General features: G+C 44.0%; 1 protein-coding gene and 1 long non-coding RNA gene across 24 annotated transcripts in view, besides 3 other annotated features; one reads left to right on the forward strand and one right to left on the reverse strand.

The window, feature by feature from the left end:
• Positions 1-24,777, forward strand: part of NTM (neurotrimin) — a 966,208-nt gene that overhangs the window by 502,218 nt on the left and 439,213 nt on the right. The window lies entirely within an intron of this gene.
• NTM-AS3 (NTM antisense RNA 3) lies at positions 4,835-24,501 on the reverse strand. Of its 2 annotated transcripts, none has more exons than NR_199062.1 (2): positions 24,193-24,501; positions 4,835-5,272 (listed from the first exon to the last, which is right to left on the reverse strand). It is a non-coding gene; the product is annotated as an NTM antisense RNA 3 (long non-coding RNA). The 2 variants fall into 2 exon arrangements; NR_199063.1 differs by lacking the exon at positions 4,835-5,272 and adding an exon at positions 19,160-19,421.
• Positions 16,021-16,914: an enhancer, noted in NCBI's record as "NANOG-H3K4me1 hESC enhancer chr11:131758747-131759640 (GRCh37/hg19 assembly coordinates)". NCBI's record gives its function as "activates a minimal SCP1, AML or CMV promoter by ChIP-STARR-seq in naive H9 embryonic stem cells {active_cell/tissue: H9 hESC(naive)}" and the evidence as "EXISTENCE:reporter gene assay evidence [ECO:0000049][PMID:30033119]".
• Positions 20,094-20,233: an enhancer, noted in NCBI's record as "active region_5760". NCBI's record gives its function as "activates an Ori minimal core promoter by ATAC-STARR-seq in GM12878 lymphoblastoid cells {active_cell/tissue: GM12878}" and the evidence as "EXISTENCE:reporter gene assay evidence [ECO:0000049][PMID:35858748]".
• Positions 21,632-21,681: a silencer, noted in NCBI's record as "silent region_4084". NCBI's record gives its function as "represses an Ori minimal core promoter by ATAC-STARR-seq in GM12878 lymphoblastoid cells {active_cell/tissue: GM12878}" and the evidence as "EXISTENCE:reporter gene assay evidence [ECO:0000049][PMID:35858748]".

Below are 24,777 nucleotides of genomic sequence, written 5' to 3' on the forward strand. Positions count from 1 at the left end.
GATTTATAATCCTTTATGCATATACCCAGTAATGAGATTGCTGGGTCAAATGGTATTTCTGCTTCTAGATCCTTGAGGAATCACTACACTGTCTTCCACAATGGTTGAACTCATTTACACTCCCACCAACAATGTAAAAACGTTCCTATTTCTCCACATCCTCTCCAGCACCTGTTGTGTCCTGACTTTTTAATGATCGCCATTCTGACCGGTGTGAGACACATGCACATGTATGTTTATTGCAGCACCATTTACAATAGCAAAGACTTGGAACCAACCCAAATGCCCATCAATGATAGACTGGATAAAGAAAATGTGGCACATATACACCATGGAATACTATGCAGCCATAAAAATAATGAGTTCATGTCCTTTTCAGGAACATGGATGAAGCTGGAAACCATCATTCTCAGCAAACTAACACAGGAACAGAAAACCAAACACCGCATGTTCTCACTCATAAGTGGGAGCTGAACAATGAGAACACATGGACACAGGGTAGGGAACATCACACACCGGGGCCTGTTGGGGGATGGGGGGCAAGGGGAGATACAGCGTTAGGAGAAATACCTAATGCATGTGGGGCTTAAAACCTAGATGATGGGTTGATGGGTGCAGCAAATCACCAGGGCACATGTACAGCTATGTAGCAAACCTGCACGTTCTGCACATGTATCCCAGAACTTAAAGTGTGTGTGTGTGTGTGTATATATATACATATATATATACCGTATATATATACATATATATATACCGTATATATATACATATATATATACCGTATATATATACATATATATATACACATATATATATACACACATATATATACACATATATATATACACACATATATATACACACATATATATATATACACACACACACTTTTAATGTATATATATCAGCTGATACATATATATCAGAATGGCGATCATTAAAAAGTCAGGAAACAACAGGTGCTATCTCTCCCCTTGCCCCCATCCCCCAACAGGCCCCAGTGTGTGATATTCCCCACCCTGTGTCCATGTGTTCTCATTGTTCAGCTCCCACTTATGAGTGAGAACATGCAGTGTTTGGTTTTCTGCTCCTGTGTTAGTTTGCTGAGAATGATGGTTTCCAGCTTTTATATATATATTATATATTATATATTATATATATTATATTTACATATAATATATTTATATAATATAATATAATATATATATATATATATATATATATATATATATATATCAGCAACAGGGTGTTAGTCCCAAGCCTTGATGGTTGCTTCAATGTGAAAAGAAAATAAAAATAAAGGCCTTCTTGGTCTCACCTGGGCTCCCACAGTTCAAGGTCTGGAAAGAGGTAGGTTGGGGAAAATGTGGCCCATCACCTCTCCTGCACACAAATGGGATGAGTCATTTTGACTGACAGTCCAGCAAGATGTGGAACAAGAGCTATAAATCTAGGGCATGTGGCATGCTGTGTTTTATCATGCTTGTCATCCTGGTTTTAAGTCATTTCTTTGAAGAGGAATTGTGTTCATCATGATGGCTAATTTTTTTCAATTGTTTTTAAAAACAAAAAAACCAAGCAGCAGCAACAACAAAATAACAGTTAAGACATTCTCCACTAAAGAAATATTGTTGCACACCGTATGAAACACATTTTAAACCCAGAGTTTATATTTCAATTGACTAAGTTTCTTAATTGTAACATTCAAATCTTACAGGCCCCAGTTTTGAGGGTGGTAGTTAAACCTTTACTATTTTACTATTTCTTGTGCATTCTCAGCCAAGGACTAGCAATTAGTTTAATAAAAAATTTGTCTTTTGCGTAGATCTATCTCTATTCCTTCTAAAACTGCCTAAATTGTTCTCTAAACTAGTTCATCTAAATGTAAGGAATAATTAGGATCATTTTGATTTGGTTAATCCAAAGATTAATCAGGGCTGTATTATTGCCAAAGGTCTTATTCCAGCCCAGGAAAAGGATCATAATACCAATTCTCAACCCTTATCAGTTGGATTTTCTGTACGAGGGATAGGTCTGCAGTAATGAGAAACTTAGTTGTGATTTGTAATTGAAGAGAGTTTTTCTATTAACTAACTATGTAAAGAACAAACTCAGGAAGGCGAGGGCTGAGGTCCCCTTCTTGGTGCCTATTTGTATGACGGGGCCTGATGGGGCAGCAGCCGGCCAAAGGCAAGAATAGAGACTTAAGCTGAGACAGAACTGGGGCCTTGTCCTGGATTCTCCACTTGTTCACTGCGCCTTGGAAAAGCTACTTAAACCCCATGAGCCTTATTTCATCACATATAGAATGGGTTTAATACTTTCTCCTTAAAATGTTTCCCCTCACTGTCTATCCTTCCTCACTTAATCAAAAAATTCTGGTTTATTGGTTTTATACATTGGGCTTCCTGGAAACATTTTACGTAGAGAAAGTTTCCCTACACTTTAAAAGAAAAAAAGAGATTGAACATCACTGCTTATAATATTTGGTGAGTTCCTTGAAGGCAGGATCTGTGAATTGTTTACACCTCTGTCTTGACAGCCTGGTTGAGGACCTGGTATTTAATATGGTAGGCTCTGAATTTTTGGAATGTTGAATGAATCAGTGAATGAGTGGATGAATCTATAATAATGCAGAAAATTTATGTTTTCATGTCCTTCAGCCAAGCACTGTTGTGCACTGTGGTGCTGTTATATTAGACGAAGAATAGAAAGTTAAAAAGAAAAAAGAAAGCTATACCCAAGGAAATCAGAGACGCCTTTTGTAGCATTGTGAAATGTCATGGATTTTAAGTCACAAGAAAGCAAAAGGATCCTTCAACAGTTTCTGTACACAGCCTTGCACAATGAATCGCATAAGAAAGGCTTTTGGTAATGACGACATTGAAAATGATGATGAGTCTCCCTTCTGTGGGCTTCATGGACACTGTCCTGGAGCTGGAAGTGGCCAGCTGGCAGGGAAAGAGCTCTTTCCCACTCATGTCTTTGTCCTTTGTTTATTCTCGATTACTCCCTTTAGTGGAAGGCTTTCCAAGAACTGTTTTTCAGTTCCTGGAGGCTGCAGCAGTGGCATCCTGAAGGGTGAGTGGTGGCAGAGGCAGCGAGGAGCCTCCCAGGCTGAGGAGGGGCCCAGTGCAAGGGAGAGTCGGGCCCAGGAGTGACACTCAACAATTTTGTTTTGAACTTCTCTGTTATTTCCAGCAAAGCGATTTCCGTGACATTTTCTTGTGGCATTTGAAGGGGGATAAAGTAGATTTTTTTTTCTTTATCATATTTTTTTCCTTTTCTCCCTCTCCAAAGCGATTTATCTGGTCTTTCTCCAAGAGTCAGCACTCCGCAGAGGCTAATCAACAGTGTGCATGTTGCAGAAGGAGGCATATGTGTGCTTCTCCAGCTGTGTGGGTGCCTGTGTACACACACTTGTGTGCGTGCAGTGAGGCAGCAGCTGTGGGCACATCAGGAGAAATCCTGTCACATAAAGCTTGTGATGAAGATGCCAGTGATAAACAAGCTGCCGGAGGCCCACTGGGTCTCCTCCACTCATCTCCCACCACATTCAGACTCTCTGGCTAGTGGATTATCCATAACCAATCTTTAATCCCTGGCTTGGTCTCAGGTGCCTGGTCCTATTACTCTCCTGATGTGTGATCATGAAAAGACCAATTAATTTTAATCTTAGCCCAAGCAAAATATAATTAGACAAATCTGCTAGAAGAATATCATATGAGGCATTTCAAAGCCAAAAGCAGGTCAAATTCTGCCATTGGAAGGCCAGAAGACAACGTTTTGTTTTCTCTTTGTGCAGTAGAACCACCATTGAAGAGATATCACTTATGCTACTCTCCACAGCAACCAGAGCTGAGAGAGGCCAGGTTATATGAGTGAGACAACCTCATTTTTTTCTGTCTGTGAATAAAAATAACAATGGCTATGCTAGAACCGTAGTGCAAAATGTAATGAAATAACACCTGTAAACTGTAAAGTACTATATGAGGAGAAGGCATAGTTTTATGAACACAAAGCATAACTTTTTTTTTTTTTTTTGAGACAGAGTCTCACTCTGTCACCCAGGCTGGAGAGCAGTGGTGCCATCTTGGCTCACTGCAACCTCTGCCTCCTGTGTTCAAGCAATTCTTGTGCCACAGCCTCCCAAGTAACTGGGATTACAGGCATGAGCCACCGTATCCAAGTAATTTTTGTGTTTTTAGTAGAGATGGGGTTTCTCCATGCTGTCCAGGCTGGTCTTGAACTCCCTGCCTCAAGTGATCCACCCACCTCGGCCTCCCAAAGTGCTGGGATTGCAGGCGTGAGGCACTGCGCCAGGCCCCAAGGCATACTTTTTACTGAATGAACACTTGCTGTGCTGGGATTGTGCCCAGCTCCCTGATCTGCAGCAGCCACTCTTTGGGACAGTTCATCTCCTCCCTCCTGTTAAGGATCTGCATTGTTCAGTGCCACCTGCCAGGACCTATGGAGTCTCCCCACGTTGGCTTTTCTCGCCTGGCCTCTTGTTTAAGTTGGTTTTGGGATTTGAAGGAGTAGGCTATCTTCAAGAGTGTGTCCACCAGGAACCTGGCCAGAATTCCTGACTTCAAAAGAATTCTTAGGAAGAGTCTCACATGACAATGAATGCACTCACAGAGCCGCAGAAACCCAGCAATTCATTCTTCCTGGCCCTGAGAGGGCCCTTTTGTATCTCCCCCACCCCTATTCCACCCAGGATGCAGCAGTCACAAAGCAATCATGAAATATACCCATCTCGGGCAGGCTTAAATCTCTGTTGGGTCTCCATTTTTCTTTCTTTAAACACTTATGGAATAAATGGAATTTATAATCAGAAACCATAAAATGTCTGATTTATTACTCATCTTGATGACAATATTTAATAACTCGTATATGTTTCATTGCATCTTTCTACTGCCCTGTTGTGGAATTTTACTTTAAGGGAGCCCGCCCTCTACGTCTGATACCACAGGAGAAGAGTCTCCTTTGGAGTCAGGGGCTCAGAGTTGCTGTGAGGGTGCTCAGCTCCCTCCAGGTGGGGTGGGAATCTCAGCTTCTCAGGGCAGGGCTGGCCTCGTCCCACTGGACGGTGTTCTCACGACACCTGCGATGGGGGTATGCCAGGGCTTTGTCACTGACTTCCATGCTGGAAATTCCATATTTGTAGATGAATTCCTTTGGTCCTTGAAAGCATTTTCTTTTCATGTGTTCTTTGTTACCATTCTGCTGTTCTCGGGAGGAAAACGTGTCCTCATTGAGTTTGGGGATTCTGTAATAAAGAGACATCCTGTGAGAAGGGGGTTGTGCCTAGAGTTGGGGACAGGAAGAAAGCTCGGGAGGGAAGAAACCGAAGTGGGATTCAAAGCGAGGCCAGCATGCTTGATCATTTTGCTTGGAAGGATGGACTTACCCTGTTAAGCTCCTGATCTTTTCTTTAATAAAAAATATGTCTTGGCCTGGCATGGTGGCTGGCGCCTGTAATCCCAGCACTTTGGGAGGCTGAGGCAGATGGATCACCTGAGGTCAGGAGTTCGAGACCAGCCTGGCCAACATGGTGAAACACCGTCTGTATTTACTAAAACTACAAAAATTTGCTAGGCATGGTGGCGCATGCCTCCCAGCTATTCAGGAGGCTGAGGCAGGAGAATTGCTTGAAACCAGGAGGCAGAGGTTGCAGTGACCCGAGATGGCACCGCTGCACTCCAGCCTAGGTGACAGAGGGAGACTCCATCTCAAAAAAAAAAAAAAAAAAAAAAAAAATATATATATATATATATATATATATATATATATATATATATATATAATGTCTTATGTTCATACAGCACTTTACAGCCTACAGATATTATTTCATTAAATCTTGCACTACCTCTCTGTCATAGCCATTGCCATTTTTATTCTTTAGACAGGAAAAATAGGGATGTCTCACTCTCATATAAGCTGGTCTTTCTCAGTGCTGGCTGATGCTGCACTCATGAGTAATATCTCTTTAACGATGACTCTCTCTTAAAATAAAGTGAGAGGGGAAGATCTTTGCCTAAGAGGAGTTCCCACCACCCCTAAATACTCCAGTGTTCACCTCCCCGGAGTAACGGCTCTCACTTCCTTGCCACTATGTACGCTGCCAATCAGGAAATTGACACTGATGTCAATACCACCTCCAATCCACGGAACTCACTCAGCTTTTGTCATCCATCCTGACAATGGCTCTTTTTCCTTTCTGGGCCAGAATCCTTCCCAGGAACACACTGAATTCAGTTATCATAACCTACAGTCTCCTTCAATCCAGAGCAGTTCCTTGGTCTCCTCCTACCTCTCAGCAAACTTCATGTGTATTCAGGCTTCTCATTCTGTAAAATGACCTCGAACCTGGATCTTTCCACCTTTTACTATGGCCCATCCCAGGGGTGCATCTGGGTGGAAACATCACAGAAGTGATGCTGTGCTTTCTTGGGGGCCTTCACATCAGGAAGCACAGCGTCCACCCGTCCCGCAGTGATGTTAAACCTGATTCCTGGGTCAAGTTAGAGACTGCCAGATTTTTCCACTGTATGGACAACTTTTTCTGGAAACAACATAAAAACATTGAAATTTTGGGTCATCTTAATGATGACAGCCCCACTCCCAACCACCAATCTTCAACACTCTTACTTTTAAACTGAAGTAAACTTATTAGGTGAATTCAAGAATATAAAGCAAAATCGAGGGTTTCAGAAAGGTGGAATGGAAAATAGTCCTGCTCGTCAGCTTTGTAGCACTATAATGTCTTGGGAAAAACATGACTGGCTTCAAAATCAAAACATATTAATTTTTTGAAAAAAATACTTATTTGAAAAATATTGATTTTTTTGTCACCTTTGAATCAGAAAGATTGGAATCTAGCTCCTGAGGTCTTGTGGATAAACTTCCAAAAAATCCTTGGCTCAAGCTGTGGCTCTTCTCTTGCAGTCTTAAATAGTTGTCCCAAATTCCTTTCCTCTTCCTAGATTCCATATATAGTCTTCTTTATGTTTCAATGGTCTGTGGCCTTAGAATCTTGAAGAGTTGAAATAATTATCTGTTATAAAAAGTGGGGTGTTAGAAGTTTTGTGTTTGTCTGTGTAGTGTTTGCAATTGTTGGTTTGCTTTTTGCTTTTACCACCTTCAAGGATTACAATAGATTTTACTGCATAGAGCCATAGTGGACAGGAGATAAGAGGCTGGAGACATCGAAACATCAACTTTCTTCTTTCTATTCCGCCTCCCTACCCTCTCCCACATGCACAAACACACATGTGCACACAGCCATCTTGGCAAATGGCTAAATCTCTTCCGACCCAGCAGATAAGTCATAAAACTCTCAATAAATCGAACCAAGAAGACTAGTTTTGAGATTGACTTTTTTCTCCTTTTTTGAACCACTGCTGAAGCCTTAAGGAGGCTGCAGCCCTTGCTGGTGCTGGCTCTGGCAGCAGAACTCCTAGTCATGCTCAGTTCCACAGCAAACAGACCTGGATCTAATGCTGAATTATAGGCTAGAGAAGGAGAGGACTCAAGGGGCAGATAATCACAGGCTATAAATACCTTCAAGGTAACAATGCAAATGAGGGAAGGGAATTGTTCATTTGCTCAGCAGGTGCTAGGACAAGGAGCACTAGCTTAAAGCTGAGGAAGAGAAAGTTTAAGCTGGGGATTAGCAGAGAAGCTCCTCACACAGAGAGTTTCCTGCCCAGGGCTCTGGACTTGGGAGTCCAGTGCCAGGTACCAGGGACAGAAGCATGATAAAGGCATTGGAAAGAATTCCTGCTCGATTCAAGGGTCACAGGGCTAACCCACAGCTTTCTGGTTGTTATCTATATTCTTAGGATGACATATACACACTCTCATTTGCCTCCGGCGTTCAATTTATAGCCTGGCTGTTCAGGAAACAAATTCCTCTGGTTCAGTTCCTTGTGGCACCTGGAAGGATAAATTCCAAATCTCACTCTTTTTTTTTTTCTTTTGCCCCCAAAGCTGGGGTTAGCTGAATTCATGATAACTAATTCTAAACTCTGATAGGTGCTAATCCCATATGCAAAGATATAGGGCTCCTGAACTACATTTGGCAGGTAGGGAACAGTCAGATGCTTAAAAGATATTAGCCACCACTGAAACAACATTCCAGTGGTAACCATTACTGCTTAAATTATTGTCTACTTTCTGAATGTGTGTCTTCATGGAACTTGCCAGAACCTTCCTATGGAGAGGAATCAGTGTATTCCCCCATGGTCTGCTTTCCTACACAAATGTCCATAGTTTCCACCCTGGTTTCATGGCTCATTTCCTAAGGAGGCCTTCGCTCAGCTGTGTCCAACCAAGTCTGGGCTCTATTGTTTGTGATTTGTCTTCCATTCCATTGCCCTCATTCACACGCGTTGAGTGCTTAATATGAGAAATTAAGACAATAAGGACATAGGCAAATAGAACTTTTCCTTACCACCCTCCTCTCAACGGTTTGAGGGAGCACTTCAGTAGTGAAAGGTACATGGATTTGAAATCAGAAACACCGAGTTCCAGTCCCGGATTGGTCAGTTTTTAATGATCGGGGTCATTGACTTGACCCTACAGAATTTCAGATTGGGGATAATAAAATCTACCTAAAATGTAATTGTGAGCTCTCAGTTACACACACACACACACACACACACACACACACCCCCCAAAGCTTTGACGCAGAGGAGCAGCCAATACTTTGTGGACACCAGCATGCAAAACACAGCGGAAAAAGTGCACAGACAGAAAGAGTGTGAGGCAGCATTTTACTCCTCCACTAAGAAAAGCTGAAAAATGCAGTAAGGGCATTTAGAAGAGAGAAAGATATCCCCACTTAGGAAGTACCAAAAAGGCTATAGGGTTGTCATATTTTCAGCCTACAATTTGTTTCTCTCCAATTATTGAGTACCTTGTCTACCTACTCTTCACTACTGAGGAGTAATGGGGGAACAGGACAGGTGAAGATGAGAAGTGACCTGCATTCTTGAAGAGACAGGGCTGTGGATGCAAATTGCTATTCCAAGTACAGGCACAGCACTTGCAGGACAGAAGGTTGCGGGGCTGACCAAAGGGTGTGCTGTGCCCATCTCCCTCTCCAGTAGAGAACAATGTCACACAACTTTCTTCTCTTTGCCTAACATCAATTAATTGCGATTTAGAAAATAGGGTGAAATCCAGGAAGAGCTTCACAGAGGAAGGATATATTCCAACAAAGGGCCCAAGTGAGTGTCTTGCCTGTAGGAAAAGGATAACAGCAGAATACATATGTACATTAGTCAGAATTATCTAGAGAATCAGAGTTGGTAATCAATAGGGTGTATGTGTGTATGTGTATGTATGTGTGTGTGTCTTTCTATCTATCTATGTGAAAGAGCGAGATTTGAACAACTAGTTAATGGAATTACAGAGACCGGCAAGTTCAAAATCTACAAGATGGGCCAACGGGGAAGAGCTGGTGTCCCAGCTCAGGTCCTCTGGCTGGCAGAATTCCCTCATCTTCAAGGCAGGTTAGTCATTTTCTATTAGAACCTTCAACTGATTGGATGAGGCTCACCCCTGTTATGGAGAGTAATCTGCTTTACTGACAGTTCATGGATTTAAATGTTAATCTCATTTAAAAACACCTGCCCATGACATCTGGAATAATATTTAATCCAATATCTGGATGCTGTGGCCCAGATATGTGGACACATAAAATTAACCGTCACAACATGATAGAGAAGTTACTTCATCACACTGGTGCTAAATACTGCTCTCTTTACATTCGGAGTATCTCGTGAAGAGAGTGGGGTTTGGACTGAGCCTTCCATGATGGGAGAAGTTGAGGGAAAATTCAATTCACAATTCCGGTGAGGAATGATGTATCTGCTGGATAGAAAAAGAAAGGGAACAAATATTCTCTGCTTATTTGTGATGGGTTCTGAGGCAGGCAACTCTTAGCTTAATTCAAGAGATCTTATTTACCATATTTAAACATTTAGGCTTGCTGCAATGAGCAATTGATAAAAGGTAGGAGTTTCTACTTCACTGTTTTTTTTTCTTTTCCTGAGAAAATAGGGAATAGGTCAAAAAAGTTCAGGAAAATAACGAATGAATGGGTTGAGGAGAAAGATCAGGCTGTGCAAAAAGCACAAGCAGTCACACTCCCCATGACATAAAGTTGATGACATATCCTGAGTGCACATTTCTACTGAGGAAGGAAAAGATGGCAGCACCTGCCAAAAGGACTTCTGTGCTCCGTAGCCTCACACCCAGAATATGACTCAAACCGTCCCCATGAATGAGAAAATCAAAGATTTTTTTCTTGGGCTGTTTGCTACTTGTCAAGACTTACACATCAGGACATAACCTTTTCATGCCAATTATAGTGCATCTTCTAATAATTAAAAAGGAAAAGTCAAAACACGAATATTTCATATTCAAAGGTCACGCTATCTCCAGTCTCCTTCCCAAAGCTGGAGACGGGGAACTGGTGGGCTTCTCCATCATGATGCCACAAAATCCAAACGGAAATCATGGCCACTTGTCTACAAGTAGGTCACCTCTTCTCTCTCAAGGCATCCAGAGCCAGAGCCTGTCCAGATCACAGAGAGATTCTCAGACACCTTTGAGTTATGGCCATAGTCACAGAGCCTCTAAATTAACAGAGAGGGAGAGAGAAAAAACAGCACCAGGTATATAGCGCCATCACTGTTCAAATGAAGAAACTGAAGTCTAGAGAGGAGTGATTTTCTTTTTGCGACACAACTAATTTGTGGCAGAATCAAGGCTCAGACTCAGTTGGTTTGACCCCCATACCGTGCACATTCTCTTTGGCTTAGTTTACGAACTCGGTGTCTGAAATATTAAAGCAAAAGGTGGTAGAGGGAAGATGACAAGCCAGCACCAAAACCAGGCGTGGTTTCCCTACTCCTTCAAAGGCAGGAGGCTGTAGTTGATTTTCAAGGTAAACTTCACTCCCCTACCACCCCCTAAAAGTAGAAAGGGCAGCATCATATCTTTGTACGTGGACAAGCCCTGCTTTTCATGGCCAGATGGCATTGAATGGGAGTGGGTCTTGACTTTTCTTTTATTAAAGGGATGCATGTTTGTGTGCACTGGGGGAGGAAGTGGCCATATGATAGCTACAAATAATAATATTTAATAGTTACTGAATCCTTAATAGGTGACAGGAGCTATTCTAAGCCCTTCACAGGGATAAACTCATTTAATCTGTACAGCAACCCTACAGACTAGATGCTAGTAGAGTCCCCATGTTATGGATAAAAACACTAAAAAGTTGGCTGGGCATGGTGACTCATGCCTGTAATCCCAGCACTTTGGGAGGCTGAGGCGGGCAGATCACCTGAGGTCGGGAGTTTGAGACCATCCTGACCAACATGGAGAAACCCTATCTCTACTAAAAATACAAAATTAGCCGGACATGGTGGTGCATGCCTGTAATCCCAGCTACTCGGGAGGCTGAGGCAGGAGAATCATTTGAACCCGGGAGGCAGAAGTTGCAGTGAGCAGAGATCGCGCTATTGCACTCCAGCCTGAGCAACAAGAGCAAAACTCCATCTCAAAAAGAAAAAAAAAGAAAGAAAAAAGAAACAGCAACACTAAAAAGTTAGAAGGTTTTAATATTCCCAGGTCTCATAGCTAGAATAGGGCAGAGCTGAGGTTTGTGGCTCCAGAAACAGTGTTCTGAACTCCCACACCACAGCGGCCATGTAGCTTTGGGCATCTGGAGGAAGTACCGCCTGTAACCACTATGACATTCCACAAATAAACAATCCTTGGGTCTAGCACAGGGAAACACGGGTCCCAGGGGAAACACCAAGAAGAGCACACAGTGATCGGAAATCATGGAAAGGGGGCCATTCGGGAAGAGGCTCGCCATCCTATCTTGAGCTGGTGATTGACAAATCCCATAGGAACTATGTCACCTGTGGGTTCCTGGGACAAAACACTTCTGTACGGGGAAAGAAGACAAAGGCTCTTTTGTAGAATACAATGGTTAATAATTCTTGAGTGCTTCCTGTGTGTCAGGGCTACTCTTAGCCCTTTAGGTGCATTCAACCTTCACAGCATACCATGAGGCAGGGGCAGTTAGTGGCTCTATTAGCTGAGGCACAGAACTTTGCAGAGCAAGAGCCCAGCATTACAGCTGGGTAACAGCTGATGCTGAGACCCACGGTTTGGGTCAAGCAGTGTAATCCCTCATCCTAATGTAAAGAAGAGCCTCAGAGTAGAGCAGGGTTGACAGAGGCCACGGCTCTGAGGAGTGAGTAGGTCTGCAGGTCTGTGAAGACTGGACACCACACCTCACCCGGGAAGCAGAGAGGGTAGGGTTTATTCATTCATCCAAGCTGAGCACCTAATGCATTCCAGGCACTGGGTATACAACAGCAAACAGGCAAAGACTCCTGCCCTCACAGGGCTTCCAGCTGGAGAGGAAAAGGTGATAAAGGGAAGAGAGATCCGGCATATCTGTGAGAACCAATCTAGCATGGTGGAGCCCTTCCCTCAAGCCTGCACTGGCTACACAACTGCGGGCAGGTGGGGGCCCCGTGGAGAGCCAGCTGACACATAAAAATGGCCTTTTGCATTTCTGCTGACATGTCGTCTGTATCTGATGGAGCAACGTCTTCATTATGAAATTAGATGAAAATCCCGATGCACAGGCTAATAGCATCCCACGCTCTTCCTCAGGGGCTGAGCAGCAGAAACTGCAAGAGCAAGGAGCAGAGCCAGAGCCTGCCCCCACCCCATCCAATTCCATTTTCATACCCACCTGTCATCTCCCCACAAACGTCATTAGTTCACAGAGGGGAAGGAGTCTCATTGCATTATCAGCCACCACAACAAAGGAGCTTTTTGTACTGAGGCCGCGGTTGAATTATGGAATAACTAGATACATTTGATACAAGAGGCTCCCTGATGGGACAGGGCTCCCTGGGGCCCAGGTTCCTTATCTCCAGTGCAAGTGTGAGCAGACTTTCTGCTTAGGAAGGCTGCACATGGTGGCCACTGAAGACCAGAGAGGTGTAGTTGATGAGACAGCAAGGTACGAGAAAGTGGGGTACGTCACTCTGATTTCTGCCTTGGAAGGCTCTTGGGTTCATTCTTTTCCACCCAGGGAGAAAGAAAGTGGATTAATACCTGGAAGATTAAGCACCTGACTCCCTGCCTTTCCTTCAATCTCCTAGTTTTCCCAAGAGACCCCTCTCTTCCCCACCAGCCCTGCCAACCAGTACAGTTTCAACCTTGCCGTTCTCTGAGGGCAAGCCAGGCACAAGCAAGGCTCAGTGAAGCCAGTGCCTGAGTTTGATTTAATCCTGTCCAGTTCACTCTGTCCTGGTTAAATGCTTTCTAGCCATCCTTCCCTGCCATGCATCTGTTTGTAATGGTTCACGCCATGAAAACCACCAGCTTCTATTTAATAAAACCAAGCCCCCACACTCCCACTGGCAATGGAAGGGCCTTGGACCTCCTGGCTGTCTCTAATTCCTGTGGCTTCATCCTCCTCAATGAAATTCTCTGCCCAGGCAGGCTGTGGAGGAGACTGCCTTGGCTTGGGAGCCTCTTCCCCGTTCCCCACCTGGGGATGCAATGGTTTTGCTGGGGCAGCAGTTCATTATCCAGTCCTGAGTTGAGTCACTTTTGCTCATATTTGCACTCTACCTCTAAAAAGATCCCTTCTAACTGGGTCTGAGGCACGCCTCTTGTGTTTATAGAGTAAACTGTCCATTTGGTGGCTGCTGTCTTGCTAACTCGGCAGGGATTGCTGTTTGCTTGTGTCTCCTTCTGTTTCCCAGGTGCAGGGCTACACTAGAGATTCAGGTGAGATCCCTGCAGAGGCCAGGGAGCTTGAGGGAGCTTTCCTACAAAGCTCTGACCATTACCCTGGTAAGATGACAGAGCCAAGCTTTGCTAACGATGTTTCTGTGCTTTTTAGCAGGGAGGAAGGGACGCTGTGTCTCCATACATCCCTGAGGAAGGGCTTGCTGGTCTTTATCTGTCCCGCTGGGATGATACTAAGACCTCTCATTGATAGAGTGCCTACTGTGCGTTAGGCACTGTTCTGTGCATTGTCTCATTTAATCCTCATAGTAGCTCCGCAAGCGAGCACTACCATTCTCATTTTACACCTTGTCTAAGGTCAAATAGGCAGCTGGTAAAACCCCCATCAGTATAGCTCTAAAGCCCCTGATGAATAAGTTCTGGAGAAGTAACGTACAGCATGATGACTACAGTTGATAACAATGTATTGTACACTTGAAATGTTCTAACAGATTAGATTGTAAGTATTTTTGTCACACACACCAAAAAGAGGTAACTATGTGATGTGATGGATATGTTAATTAGCTTAATTGTGGCAATCACTTCACAATGCATACTTACATCAAAACATCATGTTGTACACCTTGAATATATACAGTTTTATTTGTCAATTATATCTCAATAAAGCTGAAGAAAATGAAAAGACTGAGTGCCTGGGAACAAAAACAAAAACAAAACAGGAAATTCAGTGAATCCTGATTTCTAACACAATGAAACCCAAACTGTCTAGCGAGCCTTGTGGGCTTCTTTCTGGCTTCTTCTCCTGCCATTCTTCAGGCACAAGTCACTTTTCACTGTGTCTTACCAAACAGGCCAAGATGCCTTAAACCTCAGCTTCTTTGTTCTTTCTGTTGTGTGCTACAAATTATCTGATTCCGCTCTCCAATTGGTAACTTCCTACCAATTCTAAAAAAACTACAGATCCATCTCTTCTGCTAAGTGTTCCCAAATCCTTTGATCCTTAGATGGACTCATCTTCAAAATTTCAGACTTGTTAGATGCCACTCTCTTTGCTCCCATCGCACTGTAGGTAATGTGTATACACATCTATCTTCCCCATTAAGTTATGAGCCACCAGAATGCAAGCACAGGACCTCCTACTGCACTGTTGTCCTTGTATCTAGTTCAGTATTTGCTATATTGTGGTGGCTTATCAGATGATTATGATAGCACTGTTCTAGGCACTTTATATGAAGAAGGTACTATTATTGTCATCTTCAGTTTACAGATGAGAAAACCAAGGCAAGAAGAGAGTAACTTGCCACATTAATCCCTTTAGTAAGTGAAGGAGCCATGATTGAAATCTCAGCTTCTGGCTTCAGTGCCTATACTTTGAGTTGCTACTCAAAACTGCTTTCCAGTAAAATATTTGGTTAAAGAATATTTTACGAGGCCAAGCTGGGTGGATAACCTGAAATTAGGACTTCGAGACCAGCCTGATTAATATGGTGAAACCCTGTCTCTACTAAAAATACAAAACTTAGCCAAGCATGGTGGCGTGCGCCTGTGGTTTCAGCTACTCGGGAGGCTGAGGCAGGAGAATCGCTTGAACCCGGGAGGTGGAGGTTGCAGTGAGCTGAGATTGCACCACTACACTCCAGCCTCGGCGACAGAGTGAGACTCGATCTCAAAAAAACAAAAAAAGAATGAATGAGACCATGGATACCACCCGGCCTGTTTTGGAGAGGGCATTTCACACTGCGGAGAAATGCGTCGTTCATTCCCCTCCAGCTCATGACTCATTTTGACCCATCTGCCAGCCCGGATCTCCTGCCTTAGGAAGTGAGCTTGGCACAGGTGAGGGCTGTTCTCCTTTCGGTTCAGCCCCAGGTTTGGTTCCTTCAGGTCAAAGGTCACTGCAGCATCCCGAGACAGGTCTCTTGTGGTACCTGCCTTCCCACTCTTTCTCCCTCCTCCTTCCACTTCCTTGTCGCAGATGTAAAATCCTCACAGCCATCTCTGACGCTGCTAACCACAGGCATTCAGGAACAGTCTTGCTCCAAATCCTGCCTCCTATTTTCATATTTCCTGTGGCGTCTTATAGAAATAGCAGAACAATTGCTCATCCACAGGGGGTAAAGGGAGCAGGATTTTATATAATTAAATTTTAAAGTGACAAGTTTTTCCAGCCTGTGGGGTAGGTAGAGGGAAGGGGAGATGAGATGAAGACCTCCTGCATTTAAAGAGGAGCCTGGTCTCGGCATCGGCGACATAGAATCTAGCTTTATTCCTCTTTATTTTTTTTTTTTTTATTTTACCAGTGACAAGGACCGTGGACATAATTTGTACCTTCGGTGCAGCCTCTCTTTTCATTGAGCTGCAGCAGCATTGAGTGCTAAATGAGTCCCTTGTCAAAGGCTGCTTGGAGTCACCCACTTCCAAAGGGAGCGTCCGGATTTTAGGAAGTGTTGGTAATTTATTTCCATCTCCTGCACCAGTGCAAGAGAAAATAAAATGATGGTTCATCTCCCAAAAGGAACATTCTTAACATGATAAGGGACAGAGATCAGAAACATCTGTCTGTAGCAAGCAGGCCTGGAGTTTCCCCATAAACACAGGTTTCCATGCAAACCAAACAAAGGAGCATAAGATACAGGCCAGGCAGATTCCACTTCAGCTCCCAGATTGAAGTAAGTCTCACAGCCTCCTTCCTTTTAAGGTAGGGGACCAGAGGGCCAGCCTGGGCTCTGATGGCCACACCCCAGCCCATACCCCCAGCCAGGCTGGCCTCACACATCACGCCTGAGTGCACAGCACACACCACTCTCCAGCCATTTGTTCCTTTGATGTGTGCTAAGCAAAACATAATTACCCACTTTGTCATATTGCATGTGACTTTGACGGCCCAGTGTGTGGGCCTTTAAAAAAAAATACATTAGAAGGTCCTCAAGGGAAAACAGTGCTCCTTTTAGGGTTTGTTTCAGGACTTCCACAAGGTTCTAAACAACAGACTCAGTGGAGCCTGTTTGCCTAGTAAGGAGTAGGGACTTTGTCCTCACCGCCTGTCACTTACAAATAGAGAGAAAGGAGAGAATACGAACAACAGAGTGGGAAGTGCAAAGAGAGGCACATCTGAGGTTTTCATGAAGAAACTGGGGGAAGGAAAGTACAGGAACCCAAGAGGCATGGAGCACTGTAGCGCCCCTCTTTTGCATGAGGGATCAGTAGCATCCCTCTTTTGCATGATAAATTGTTTCCAAAACCAAAGATGGATGTCTCTGCAGGAACCCTCTCCCTCCACCTTCAGAAACTTCCTACTTAGGCATGCATTTAGCTCCTTTCCCAAATCCCTTGTATTCAAAGTCTCATTTCTCTTGTTCACAGAGACTCCTCCTTCTCAGCCCACCCAAAGCTCATCTCTCCAGCAGTGCACTCCTCCCTGACCCAATTCTCTGCTCCAAAGGAAGGCACCTGGCTACTTTAAGATAGCAGAAATATGCACAGCACACACAGGCCCTCTCTCTCCCTCTCTCTCTCTCTCTCTGTCTCTCTCTCTCTCTCTCTCTGTCTCTCTCTCTCTCTCACACACACACACACATATCCACCTCACCCCTGACCCTCAGAGACTTCCCCTCTTTGTAGAGACACACACCATACCCCCTGGAAACAGAGCTTTCTAAACACATTCTGAATCTACAAATGCTGCTAGGGCTCAGGCTGTGAGGTTCCTTAAATGTGAAGTCTGCTCATGACTGCAATTAATTGGCATTGCTGTGCTAATGGTAAGGCAGCCTCCTGTAATAACCACCAGCAGCCTGCTGAGTGCAGGGGGAGACAGTGGTAGGAGCTGAGCCCTGTGCGTTGTTTACAGTAGAGGAGACGAGGAAACTCATGAGCGCTCTCCTTTTTTGTAAGGCAAAGTTTCACAATTGGTTGGTATTAGCAATTTTCAATCATCTTTTATTAGTGCTAGATTGATTTTCTGGGTTTTTTTTCTAATGTATGAAAGCAGAATTCTCTGAACAACTTTCATCCCTGGTCAGCTGATTAAAAATAGCACCACTACCCAGTTGCTTATCAAGAAGCTCAGAACGAGCTCCTCGTGAAAAGCTCTTTGGATGGGAACAGATACTGTGTGCTGCTGATGGTGCCACCCGGACGCATGCTAAGTGAGATGGTTATCTCTGGGATGAGGTTGACTTGAGGATCCCCTACTCATTGTCTGTGTCTCTGGCAGAACCACTTTTGACAGTGGGATGGCAGGTCTAGGGGATTTGTCAGAATCATTCATTCCTTCAACCTTTTCTGTCCTCATTCTGGGCAAGCACGTCCCTGATTTCAGGGTGCAAATGAATTCCAGCTCTCCTCTAGCCTAGCGAGAGGAGAATGTGCGAATTTGTTTAGACTATGTCAGCTCTCTAGGGCTCATTTCCTCATCTACAACATGGGCACATTGATTTAGATGACTTCTATGAGTCTTTTCATCTATCAAGTAAATTGGTCTAATAAAAAGACTAAGGTCTTAGAAACAAGCTAATCCCTTGTAGGGAGGATACCATATGTTGACACCCAACTATATCAGAAGGCAGTGTGTTCAATGTGCTATAGGAGACACAAAACATTACAGGCATTCAGAAGAGAGAGATCCCTTCTCACTGGGACGACCAAAAGACAGGACTCCATGGAAGGGTTGCGGGGGCAGTCAGTCGAAGCGTGTCTTGAGGGGTGAATAGTGTTGATTGACAGAGATCGAGATGAGGTATAAGACAGGGTTGACCACAAGTTGGGGAAAGCACTTGGGAAGATGCTGTCCAGAAGTATGGGGAATCTAAATGGTGTGGTGACTTGACTTCCAAAAAAAGAGGCCTTTTCAAAAAGAAGAAGCACATTTCACGGGGCCACACGCTGCCAAGAGATCAAGGAGTTTAGCCATGACATCCTGAGCAAGCAGCTCTCCAGATGCATAGCAGGCCTCTGGTTCCCCGAGGACTCTGCCCACTCCACCAGTGGCCACTGGAAAGCACCCCACAGGGCTCTCTGCGGTGGGAGTTGTGTCACTGGTCCTTGAGCCTGGCAGTGTCTATAAATCCCATGTATTTTTCTGTGGACAACAAATGCTGCCTTTTCTGATATTCAGAAGTGAGATAAATGGCAGGCCTGTTACATTGCTCAGACATTTTGGACTTTCTTTCTCTCTCTTTTACATGTCCCATTTTTTCACTGGGCCTAATTCTTGACAATGGTTCTGATTCTCATTCGTCTGCTCCTGAATCATAGTCTTCCTTTTGCCCTTTGTAAATTATCTCTGTTATCCTATCTAAACACTTCTTACTCTCTAAAATGAGCCACAGCCTAGGGAGTATTTCTCAAGGAGAGAGGGTAGCTTCTTGTATTTATTAAGCTACAGCCCAGTAAAATACACTGATTTGGAGTTAGACGACTAAATTTGAAACCAAGGTCTTCCACATTCCACTATGGGAACTTTGTCAGCTGCTCCTCTTCTTCCTCCTCCCCTTCTCCTCTTCCTCCTCCTCTTTCTTCTTCTTCTTTCCTCCTCCTTCTCCTCCGCCTTCTTCTTCTTCCCATTTAAGGCTTGGTTCACTCATCTGTCAAATGGGACATGGTTCTGCTAGACAGGGTAGCTGGGTGAGAATTACATTACATGATAAAGTATAATTTATTCCGCAAATCTAACATTTTGATATCAATTATGGTTATTGTAACCGTGCAAAGAGAGAGAATCTTTCTCATTCTCAAAAGTTTATCAACCATTTCATGAACAAAGTAATGCGTGTGAATTACAATTGTGTGCACATAGTGCATCACTCCTCTCAGCTGTGTGTAATTTCCTTTGTTGTCAGGAAGCCCTGGCTGATTTCTAATTTAAAAGTAAGGCATGCAGTGCTTTGCCCCCTACTTTTCTCTGTGTATTTTCTACTAGATGTGGGGTGCCCCCAGTGCCTCTAATGAGCATTTGACTGCATTGTCGGCATGGTGCGGGATGGCCACATGCTGCCCTCTTGTTAACAGACTTGAGGGTGGAGGAAATTTAAAGACGCTGCTGCCTCCAAGCTCATCAGGTTCTCCTGTCAAGGAGCAGGTGACACTGTGGACTGGGCAAGAGGGGTAGCCATAGCTTTGACCTTGCCCAGGCCAGCCCGGCATCCCCAAAGAGCCAGAGCTCCTCCTGACAAGAATCCACTGTGAAGCGGGGCATCTCATTGCAGAAGGCCCCACAGCAGGGCCACCTCAGCATTTCAGCTTCCAGACAGAAAACTCTTCTCCTGCAGCCTGCTGTTCTTCCCTGGGAACAGCCTTGGCATACCCTTTCTCTCCCTTACAGCAGAGCTCTGAGTGTCACTTATGGAGCTAAGAAGTCACTTTGGACTTTGAGCTCTTGTTGGGGGATTCTACCTTGTCTGGAAGGGCAGAAGGAGGCAGAAAAACCAAGAACTTTATAGGAGAACAGCATATTCAGCCCGAATGTAGGATGTGGACATTGTGGTCTGGATTATTGGTAGGGTTGGGTATTAGGGCTAGAATTTTAAAAATGTGCACTAGTGTATCAATTATTTTGGGTGCTCAATTGTTTAGGTGAAGTCCCTTTGAAATTGCAGCATTGCTGGCCTAAAATATATTTGAAAGTGAGAATGTAGGAGGAGCAGAGGGGGAGCCAGAAGCCCACTCATGCAAATACAGGTATATAAATGAGTCAGTTTCCTCCTTCGTAAAGAAGAAAATGATTCGGAGTTGCTTTGTTGGCAGGTTAGCTAATGAGGGGGTGTTGTGTTAATTAACGTTGCAAAGAATAGTGAAAGCATTAAACTTTAGAAGTACCCTAGTGCTTCTAGGAGTATTATTCTTGGTGCATTAACAGGCTGGGTCTGCCAATGTCTATGAGAGTGAGGGAATAAACGAAAGCTGGAGCAGAAGGCAGAAGACGTGTGGACACAGCAGCACCAGCTCGGGGCTGAGTGAAGGAATCTCAAAGTACCATCTTCAGAGCTTTAAAATATCTTTCTCCCAAGGAAATGGAAATGGAATACTTTGGATGTTTTTGGTTGCAAGTAATCAAGCCCCTTACAGCAGATGCTTAAAAAGTGAGGGCATCAAGGAAGCCTGGAGGTGGGGTGTGTCCATGCTCAGCAATGGCCTCCAGGACCCAGGACCTCAGAGTTGGTCTCCATCATGCTCGGCATGTGAGATCTGCGTGTCATGAGTGAAAGGTGGCCACCTTTCTTCATCTCTCACACCATCACCTAACCATGATCAAAGATAGTAATCAAGTGGGCCTGGAAGAGGGCGCATGTTTCTTTTTGATGAGGAGGAATATCTAGTCCTTCTACTGTGTAAAGTGACCTGCATAGCTGCAAAAGAGAGAGAAAGGTGAATATCTGGCATTTTTAGCTTCTTTTGTGGGAGGCAGGCTTTGCCAGTAGGAAAGAAGGAAGGAGAGGGAAAGGCATTTTATATAGAAGTCAGCACCGAACACCTCTGTGAACAATGGACTTCTGGATAACAATCTGGTGTTTGTTGGGAAATACTCTGTGAGCACTGGGGGCAATTGTGCGGCTTCTCTTCAACCGCCAGCCACATGCTTGCCTAATTAGGAGACACGAGCCAGTTACTCTGCTGTCCCCACCTCTCCATGTGTTCAGGCTTGGTCTATAAAGTATTGGCCTAAAGGCACTTTCACCCATACATGGGTCATCCCCACCAACAGATTCACCCTGGATGTGCATATGGGATCCGCACTGTGGCCCTTCCACATAAGAAAGTAAGGGAGTGAAGACTTGGGAAGATTTATGAGCTCTGCAAAACTGGATGTGGTAAACTATGTGTATGGCAGCTCTGAAAAGCAGTACTGAGCCTCTGCTTGGGGCCTGACAGACATGGAGGCAGTTCTATTGAAACCCCAGGCAAAGGGCCTAATGAGAAATCAGTCAGATGTGCCGTGACACTGCCTAACCCACAGGCTTCCATCTGCTTGCACCCTTCGCTTCCAAACAGAGCACCAGTTGTGTTTGTTCAGTGACCAACTGGCTGTCCATCGCCTCACCTCCTCCAGATTGCAAACCACCAGCAGCAGCCCGGGCTCCTCCCTATCAAACCAGAGCAGCCCAGGGAGGTTGTTCATCCTCCTCCCTCTTTCCTGATGCATTTTTCATCATTAAAGGGAAAATGTCATTTTGGTGACAGATACTAGTATGATTGGTGTCAGGAATGAATCTTCCTTTCTCTGTCAGCCTTGCTTCACACAATCCTAAGACAATGTTCTGTTGAAAGGCCACTTCCATTTCCAACGCCAGCAGTGTGGGAGAAGAGCAGGCTTTGCTGTGACGGATGGGTCTGCCAAGGCTGGCGCTGTGCCAAGGGGTGTAACTGAAGCTCGACCCTTGCACACCGGGCAAGCCTGAAGAAGCTTCTGGGAAGCTCAAGTCTTATTTCTGGAGGGATTCTGCTGAGAACATATCTTAAAAAGAGAAAACCTGCAGCTCTATTCGGTGATTAGGTTTTAAGAGGTGGAAGAGTTGCCATCATCACTGATATATAGAGTCCCATAAATCCAAACCCGTGTATTGGAAAGCTGATCTGGAAATGAAGATTTTTATTTTCTGGCAGCAGAAATGTAGGTCAGCCTCTCTAGATCTTTTCCAGGTGCAGGCCTGGACCTGGCATGGGCTGGAAGTAACCATACATTTCACCCATACAGTGTGCCTCATCTGACACTCTGCATACCACAACCTGTTAGGACTCATTTACAGCTTCGTTTTCTCATGCATGAAATAAAGGTAATAGTACCTAGACTACCTTTCTCAATCACTGAGAGGTCATTTTATTTCAATGGATATTTGTTGAACTCACACTCAGGGTCATATACTTTGCTCAGTGTTGGGCAGGTACAAAAATGAACAAGAAATGGCAACTGCCTTCAGAGAGCTTACAACCTAGTTGGTAAGATCAGACAAATCTACAGTCCATTACAATGTAGATACACATACACACATTTACAGAGTTCTAGATTGTGAAATATATATATATATTATTTCACATTATATATGTGAAATATACATATATATGTGTGTGTGTGTATATATATACATTTCCTTTAAAATAATTGATTTCAACTAATAGAAAAGAGAGGCATGGGAAGCATTGGTTAAACTAATGTTTCATGGAGGAAGTAGAATCTGAACTGGTTCTTGAAACCTGAATAGGATTTAGAAAGCTGTGGATGGTAGGAGGGCATCTTGGCAGAGCAAAAGTCTGAGCATCTACACAGTTTGTGATATGCAGGGCAACTTTCCAAGAAGAACGTCTAGTCCAGGTTGATTGGGTCCTAGGATGTTACATGAGTGCAAAAATGAGGCCACAACAAAGACTAACACTATTTAATTAACTTGGGATACTTCTTGATTGTCAGTCTTAAGAGTTGGGTCTTTATGTCATAGGCAGGGGGAGCCACTGAAACTTCCTACATAAGTAAAGGACATCATCTGATCCCTGCCTGAGAAAGATAAAGCTGGCTTCTGCATGTGAAATGCCGTACATCTGCTATTCTTAACTTTTTCTAACATAAAAATCATTGAAAATATTTTATAATACCCTCATTACTGTGCAGAAAATAAGTTCACAGATAACATATAACACCTATCACATACTTCAAAAAATGACCTATATAAAGTCTGACTGAATCTGAAGGAGAAATAAATAGAAAATGATTGATAATAATATAAATGTAAAATAAATATTTGGATACAACTACCCCATAGGATATAATGAAGTATGGAAGCGTCTATATGCAGAATCACCATGAATGTGACAGCTAAGCAACAGTAGAGACCTGCTACAAGGATGTAGAATTAATTGATGACTCAATATTATGAGAAACATTCCCACTGAGTACGTGATTTTTCAAACTAGTGAACACTTCTTGGTAAAGATGTGAACAAATCAAACACAGTCTTTCTTTGACTTGCAGGATAGTTGCATTCCTGGAGAATTAGCGAATATTAAAACCTGGCAAGAATATCTGTGTTTACATGCCAAATGGAGTACATTTTAGGCTTTTTTTTTTTTTTTTTTTTTTTCTCTGAGACGGAGTCTGGCTCTGTCGCCCAGGCTGGAGTGCGGTGGTGTGATCTCAGCTCACTGCAAGCTCCGCCTCCCGGGTTCACGCCATTCTCCTGCCTCAGCCTCCGGAGTAGCTGGGACTACAGGCGCCCGCCACCAAGCCGGGCTAATTTTTTGTATTTTTATTGGAGATGGGCTTTCACTGTGTTAGCCAGGATGGTCTCGATCTCCTGACCTCGTGATCCGCCCACCTGGGTCTCCCAAAGTGCTGGGATTACAGGTGTGAGCCACCGCGCCCGGCCTAGGCTTAGATTTTTGAAAGAAAAAGGTTTCACTCACCTAAATGTCTGGCAGGCATTTGACGTCCGTGGCTGAATAGCCATGCGTTGCTGCGTCTCTAACCTCTGCGGCCTCTGTACACTAAACGGCAGCAGTACCTCTCCAATTATGGTGGTGACCAATATCCAATCAATTTTCCACTCCCACAATCCAAGGAGTGTGCCCTGCCCCTGTTAAGAAGCACTGACTAATGCAGAGGCAGGGTTGGAAGCAGAGAGATGAGTTAGGATTTAATTAAAAGAGTAGAGAGAGAGGGGAAAGAAAAAAAGCAAGAGAGCCTTGGTGGTAGCATTGGAGACTGGCAAGAAGGAAAAAAATTAAGAGGCACTGATCTACCAGTGAGCAAAGGGTTGGCAATGCCCTTGGTAAAGTTTACATCACTGTGCAAATATTGTTGCAGTTGGAGTTAAATGTCATCACACTCACTGTACAGAGATGGTATCTGAAGCACTGAAAAGGTGCAATGACTTTTGCAAAGACACAGCACAGGTCAGGAATTGTGTTAGACACCCAGTGCCTTAGAACTACACTTTTACTGTAATTACTAATGCAAAGGAGCTTCTACTCAGCATGGGAAATTATAAG

Source organism: Homo sapiens, chromosome 11 (assembly GCF_000001405.40).
Source record: "Homo sapiens chromosome 11, GRCh38.p14 Primary Assembly".
Taxonomy (NCBI): Eukaryota; Metazoa; Chordata; class Mammalia; order Primates; family Hominidae; genus Homo; species Homo sapiens.